The sequence below is a fragment of the Homo sapiens genome, chromosome 7 (genome assembly GCF_000001405.40).
Source record: "Homo sapiens chromosome 7, GRCh38.p14 Primary Assembly".
NCBI lineage: Eukaryota > Metazoa > Chordata > Mammalia > Primates > Hominidae > Homo > Homo sapiens.
This window is the reverse complement of record NC_000007.14, coordinates 49,117,191-49,124,682: the sequence shown is the minus strand read 5'-3', so window position 1 is coordinate 49,124,682 and position 7,492 is coordinate 49,117,191. Positions and strand designations below refer to the sequence as shown.

The following is a 7,492-nucleotide window of genomic DNA, read 5'->3' as shown; positions in this document are numbered from 1 at the left end:
AAGGAATGGCCCTGCAAGTGATTCTGCTCAGTGGTCCATCCTGGAAACAGTTGGAGCTTGATGCATAGTTCAGGAACATGACATATCTTATACTCCACTCTCTGTCCTCTCTACACAATTCAGCAATTGTTTTTAGGTAGGAGCACAAAAGTCTCTCTCTGTTTTTTTTTTAAATATTTGTTATGAACATCTTGACTTTGAAGAAAAAAATGTCAGGTCAACTGGGTACTACTTCTGGGTTACAATCTGTTTTTTTAAATTCATTTTTTATTTTAATAGGTTTATGTGGAACAGGTGGTATTTGGTTACGTGAATAAGTTTTTTATTGGTGATTTCTGAGATTTTCATGCACCCATGACCCAAGCAGTGCACACTGTAGGTAATGTGTAGTCTTTCATGCCTCACTCCCCTCCCACATTTTCCCCTCAGTCCCCAAAGTCCATTGTATAATTCTTATGCTTTTCGTGTCCTCGTAACATAACTCCCAATTATGAGTAAGAACATGTGGTGTTCGGTTTTCCAATCCTGAGTTGCTTCACTTACAATAATAGCCTCCAATTCCATCCACATCCAGGTTGCTGCAAATGCCATTATTTCTCTTTTTTATGGCTGAGTAGTATATATATGTGTATATATATATATATATATATATATATGACATGTATATATATGGTATATATATATACACACACACACACACGTATATATCACATTTTCTTTATCCACTTGTTCATTGATGGGCATTTGAGCAGGTTCCATATTTTTGCAATTGTAATTGTGCTGCTATAAATATGTGTGTGCAAGTATGTTTTTCATGGAATGACTTCTTTTCCTCTGCGTAGATACCTAGTAGTGGGATTGCAGGATCAAGTGGTAAATCTACTTTTAGTTCTTTAAGGAATCTCCACAGTGTTTTCCATAGTGGTTGTACTAGTTTACATTTTTGATTTTTTGATTATGGTCAGTCTTGCAGGAGTGAGGTGGTAGGACATTGTGGTTTTGATTTGCATTTCCCTGATAATTAGTGATGTTGAACATTTTTCCACATGCTTATTGAGTCATTTGTATATCTTCTTTTGAGAATTGTCTATTCGTGCCCTCAGCCCACTTTTTGGTGGGATTTTTTTTTTTCTTGCTGATTTGTTTGAGTGGTTTGTAGATTCTGGATATTAGTCTTTTGTTGGATGTATAGATTGTGAAGATTTTCCGTCACTCTGTGGGTTCTGTGTTTACTCTGCTGATTATTTCTTTTACTGTGTGGAAGCTTTTTAGTTTAAGTCCCATCCATTCATTTTTGTTTTTGTTCCATTTGTCTTTGGGTTCTTGGTCTTGAAGTCTTTACCTAAGCCAATATCTAGAAGGGTTTCTCTAATGTTATCTTCTAGAATCTTTATGGTTTCAGGTCTTAGATTTAAGTTTTTGATCCCTCATGAGTTGAATTTTGTATAAGGTGAGAGATGAGAATCCAGTTTTATTCTTCTACATGTGGCTTGCTAATTATCTCTTCACCATTTGTTGGATAGGGCATCCTTCACTACTTTATGTTTTTATTTGCTTTGTTGAAGATCAGTTGGCTGTAAGTATTTGGCTTTATTTCTGGGTTCTCTACTCTGTTTGATTGATCTATGTGCCTTTTTTCATACCAGTACCATGCAATTTTGGTGACTATGGCCTTATGATATAGTTTGAAGTCAGGTAATGAGATGTCTCCAGATTTGTTATTTTCGGCTGGTCTTGCTTTGGCTATGCTGACTCATTTTTGGTTCCATATGAATTTTAGGATTTTTTTTAGTTCTATGAAGAATGATGGTGGTATTTTGATGGGAATTGCATTGAATTTGTAGATTGCTCTTGGCAATATGGTCATTTTCTCAATATTGATTCCACCCACCTATGAGCGTAGGATGTCTTTCTATTTGTTTGTGTCATCTATGATTTCTTTCAGCAGTGTTTTGTAGTTTTCCTTGTAGAAGTCTTTCTCCTCCTGGGTTAGGTATAATCCTAAGTATTTTATTATTTTATTTTTTGCAGCTATTGTAAAGGGGGTTGAGTTATTGATTTGATTCTCAGCTTGGTCACTGTTGGTGTATAGCACAGCTACTGATTTGTGTACATTGATTTTGTATCCTAAAACTTTGCTGAATTCGTTTACCAGTTCTAGGAACTTTTTGGATGAGTCTTTAGGGTTTTCTAGCTATAAAATCATATAGCCAGCAAACAGCGACAGTTTGACATCCTTTTTACCAATTTGGATATTCCTTATTTCCTTTTCTTGTTCAATTGCTCTGTCTAGGACTTCCAGTACTATGTTGAATAGAAATGGTGAAAGTGGGCACCCTTTTCTGGTTTTCAGGGGAATGCTTTCAACTTTTCCCCATTCAGTATAGGGTTGGCTGTGAGTTTGTCATAGATGGCTTACATTACCTTAAAGTATGTCCCTTCTATGCCAGTTTTGCTGAGGGTTTTAATCATAAAGGAATGCTTGATTTTGTCAAATGCTTTCTCTGCATCTATTGAGATAATCGTGTGATTTTTTAAAAAAATTCTGTGTACGTGGTGTATCACATTTATTGACTTGTGGATGTTAAACCATCCCTGCATCCCTGGTATGAAACTCACTTGCTCATGGTGGATTATCTTTTTAATATGCTGTTGGATTCAATTAGTATTTTATTGAGTAATTTTATATCACCCTGAACTCTCCCAATCCCGCCTGGGTTACAATCTTATGGAAGTTTTGAAATTAACAACAGTTTTACAGGTAAAGTGTTAAGATAGTAACTATACTGTATATAGCCCTTTACACGAAGGATGGTTTGATAGCATTGGGGTCACAGGATGCTTTTGGATATCAAAGGACCATTTTGTGACTGCATTGCCATGACTACATCCCCAAAGCAACAATGCCCTTATGTTATAGACAGGACCCAAGAGGCCATCTCCACCTGGTGGGAGAGAATGTACAGCAGACAACAAAATGTGGATGAAAGTATGCAATTACCAAAATTAACTTAGAAGGAAAAACAGAATAAACAAACTTGATATTCTTGTTATTTTCCTCCCAGGAAATAATTAGATGAGATGTTTACATTTATTCTTTTCTTGATTGCATCACATGCCATATTCATAGGTTTACAATCATCATATTGTAACTGGCTGTCCCTCTATAAACTGAGATGCAAATATCTTTCTCAGTCAATTATTGAAGGCTCTGCTCTATGACAAAACAAGAAATTTTGGATGCCCAGACTGGATGCCCAGTCTAGCCCTGTCTCCAAGTTGGTGAGATTATCAGCTGTCTTCAGTTCTACTTCAGTTTTCTGGCTGCAGCTGGGTACCAAGCAGGCTGGCACACAGAAACCAGGACACATCCCTGAGCACCTCTGATAACAGTTCATATGCTTTATATGCTCCACGTGTACCAGATATTGACAAGGTTGTACATGTATTAACTCAATGAATCCTCACTGCAACTCTATGAGATAGATATTATTATTAAACCCACTGACAAGTGAAGAAACTAAGGCATATAGACAATAAGAACGTTGAACAAGGTCACAAACTATTAATTAAAAGAGCCAAGATTAAAACGCAGGCTGTTGGACTTTAGAACCCACAATCAATCATTAGGCTCTATGGCTCTTTCAGTGGCTATTGATGCCAAGGTGGTTTCTTTCCCAACAGCACCAAAGCTTCACCTCCTGCCAGCTCCTGCATGTTGTTCTCAGGGAAGTCTTTCCAGTAAAACAGACTGGAGCTTCCAGGGGTGAAACATTTTCAATCTGTTGTCTGAACTACTTCCCTGAAATGCCAGACCTCCAGGTTGGAGGGCTGTGGAAGTAGACTAGGGGCAGCCCCAACTGTCATTTGGCCTGAAGTGAGACAGCACACACCCACTTTGTGGAATGGGGCAGCTTCATTACCACCCAGTTTTTGAGGGTTCATGGGGGTGGGATGATTCTTTATGGACCGATACGTATGGATTTCTTGAGGCAGAGGGTATGGGAGTTGGAGAAGAGAAGCCACGGTCTGATCTCTGTGACAGAGACTCTGCATGTTGCTGAGGAACTGTGTTAGTCTGTTTTCAGATTGCTCTAAAGAACTAACTGAGACTGGGTAATTTATGAAGAAAAGAGTTTTAATTGAATTACAGTTCCACAGGCTGAACAGGAAACATCACTGGGAGGCCCGAGGAAACTTACCGTCATGGTGGAAGGCAAAGGGGAAGCAAGGACTTTCTTCACATGGTGGCAGGAGAGAGAGAGAGCAAAGGGGAAAGTGCCACACTGCAACGTTTACACCATAAGGTCATGTGAGAACTGACTCACTATCATGAGCACAGCAAGGGGGAAAGCAGCCCCCATGATCCAATCATGTCCCACCAGCCCCCTCTTCTAATTCGACAGGAGATTTGGGCAGGGACACAAAACCAAACCATATCAGGAACACATAGGGGTGGGATGCATTTTGAACTCTTCCCTAGGGGCACACCCTCAAGGGGCTAATGCCACCATGTGGCATTGGGGCTGAGTACTCCATGCCAGTGGCTCTCCAGGGTGGGGGAAGGGGCCTAAGTTACCTACAGCTGCAAAGCAAACCAGCCAAATGTTAGTGGTGCAAATGACACCAGTGTGCATGTAGGAATTCTCCCAATCTGATGGGCTTTTCCCTGTGTCTGTATTCCCTCATGCTGCTGCTGATGCACACATGGCCTCAGGGCAGCACACCACAGGGTGAGTCCCACAGCTCAAGCACTCAAGTCCCTGTCTGCATCAAATTTGCAAATTTCCTGTTGTTTTGAGCCATGTGGTCAAACTCTGGTCAGGGAAGGAAGAGAAATCTTAACTCATGGAAGGCTCCCTGCAGCATGCTCATGAATCCTTTGCAGGCATTTCCGCAAGGAAAACAGCCAGCACAGAAGCTGTGCATCCTCTTGGGCCTGAAGTCCAAGTGTTCCAGCATGGGGACCTGTTTGCGACATCTCTCCCACAGCTCAGAACCCTTTCCCTGGGTGACTCGGGCACAGTCATATCGGCCACCACCTCAGGGACCCCAGAGCAACCTTGCCGGCCACTCTCCCTGGCCTGGTGAGAGCAGGCTTGCTTTCTCAGCCACACTCCAGCTGTGTGCTTACTTACTTGCAGTTTCACTGGGTCTCTGTTACCTAGATTGTACAAAATTAGTTAATTAAAATATACCTTACCTCAGATAGTTATCATTTTTATAGGGAGAACATTTAAGATCCAGTCTGTTAACATTTTTCAAGAATAAAATATATCATTATTAACTACAATCACTATGCTGTATGACAGATCTCTTGAACTACATACTTCAAAATATCATGCTGTACTCAATAGATACATATAATTATATCTGACAATTTAAAATAAATACGTGAATAAATTTGAAAAAAGACTACATTATAAATAGAAAAAATATTTGCTTTCATGTTATTAAATGTTGACATCATAAAAGAGTAAAAAGTAAATGAAAACATAAAAAAGTAAGTTTGGTTAGTTTGGCAGGTAATTTTCTCAGTCACGCTTTTCTCTTTATGTGACCTGCCCAGCCCCCTGCACGTTCTTGGCTCAGAGGTCCTGTTAGAGAATGTTTTCGTTCATGGAGCTCTCCAGTGGGACACAGGGAGTGGCCCTGCTTCACATGGTGCAGTCACAATGGTCTGAACCATTAGGGAAGGGGACAGTGAGTAGAGGCACAGTGCCTTGCTTCTCCTCCCTCCAGAGTCTCAGACAAAGTCTCTACTCAAACACCTTCCAAGTGTTCCATATCCTTCTGGGATGCAAAACACCGGGATAGTACCACAACTTTGTCTTGACCATATCTATGTCTTCAGGGATCTTACTGGCGCTTCCCTTACTGTCAACATTTTCTTCAATTTCATTAGTCAATTCATTCTATTCATGCCAAAAACAGTCAGCTTTCTTTCTTTTTTTCTTTTTATTATTATTATACTTAAGTTTTAGGGTACATGTGCACAATGTGCAGGTTAGTTACATACGTATACATGTGCCATGCTGGTGAGCTGCACCCATTAACTCGTCATTTACCATTAGGTATAACTCCTAAAGCTATCCCTCCCCCCTCCCCCCACCCCACAACAGTCCCCAGAGTGTGATGTTCCCCTTCCTGTGTCCATGTGTTCTCATTGTTCAATTCCCACCTATGAGTGAGAATATGCGGTGTTTGGTTTTTTGTTCTTGCGATAGTTTACTGAGAATGGTGATTTCCAATTTCATCTATGTTCCTACAAAGGACATGAACTCATCATTTTTTATGGCTGCATAGTATTCCATGGTGTATATGTGCCACATGTTCTTAATCCAGTCTATCATTGTTGGACATTTGGGTTGGTTCCAAGTCTTTGCTATTGTGAATAGTGCCGCAATAAACATACGTGTGCACGTGTCTTTATAGCAGCATGATTTATAGTCCTTTGGGTATATACCCAGTAATGGGATGGCTGGGTCAAATGGTATTTCTAGTTCTGGATCCCTGAGGAATCGCAACACTGACTTCCACAATGGTTGAACTAGTTTACAGTCCAACCAACAGTGTAAAAGTGTTCCTGTTTCTCTACATCCTCTCCAGCACCTGTTGTTTCCTGACTTTTTAATGATTGCCATTCTAACTGGTGTGAGATGGTATCTCATTGTGATTTTGATTTGCATTTCTCTGATGGCCAGTGACGGTGAGCATTTTTTCATGTGTTTTTTGGCTGGATAAATGTCTTCTTTTGAGAAGTGTCTGTTCACGTCCTTCGCCCACTTTTTCATGGGGTTGTTTGTTTTTTTCTTGTAAATTTGTTTGAGTTCATTGTAGATTCCAGATATGAGCCCTTTGTCAGATGAGTAGGTTGCGAAAATTTTCTCCCATTTTGTAGGTTGCCTGTTCACTCTGATGGTAGTTTTTTTTGCTGTGCAGAAGCTAAAGAAGGCCATTACATAATGGTAAAGGGATCAACTCAACAAGAAGAGCTAACTATCCTAAATATATATGCACCCAATACAGGAGCACCCAGATTCATAAAGCAAGTCCTGAGTGACCTACAAAGAGACTTAGACTCCCACACAATAATAATGGGAGACTTTAACACCCCACTGTCAACATTAGACAGATCAATGAGACAGAAAGTTAACAAGGATACCCAGGAATTGAACTCAGCTCTGCACCAAGCAGACCTAATAGACACCTACAGAACTCTCTACCCCAAATCAACAGAATATACATTTTTTTCAGCACCACACCACACCTATTCCAAAATTGACCACAGAGTTGGAAGTAAAGCTCTCCTCAGCAAATGTGAAAGAACAGAAATGATAACAAACTGTCTCTCAGGCCACAGTGCAATCAAACTAGAACTCAGGATTAAGAAACTCACTCAAAACCACTCAACCACATGGAAACTGAACAACCTGCTCCTGAATGACTACTGGGTACATAACAAAATGAAGGCAGAAATAAAGATGTTCTT

The 7,492-nt window shown here is 40.1% G+C and overlaps 1 annotated feature.

Annotated features, from left to right (window-relative positions):
• Positions 4,881-5,397: an enhancer, noted in NCBI's record as "NANOG-H3K27ac-H3K4me1 hESC enhancer chr7:49158882-49159398 (GRCh37/hg19 assembly coordinates)". NCBI's record gives its function as "activates a minimal SCP1, AML or CMV promoter by ChIP-STARR-seq in naive H9 embryonic stem cells {active_cell/tissue: H9 hESC(naive)}" and the evidence as "EXISTENCE:reporter gene assay evidence [ECO:0000049][PMID:30033119]".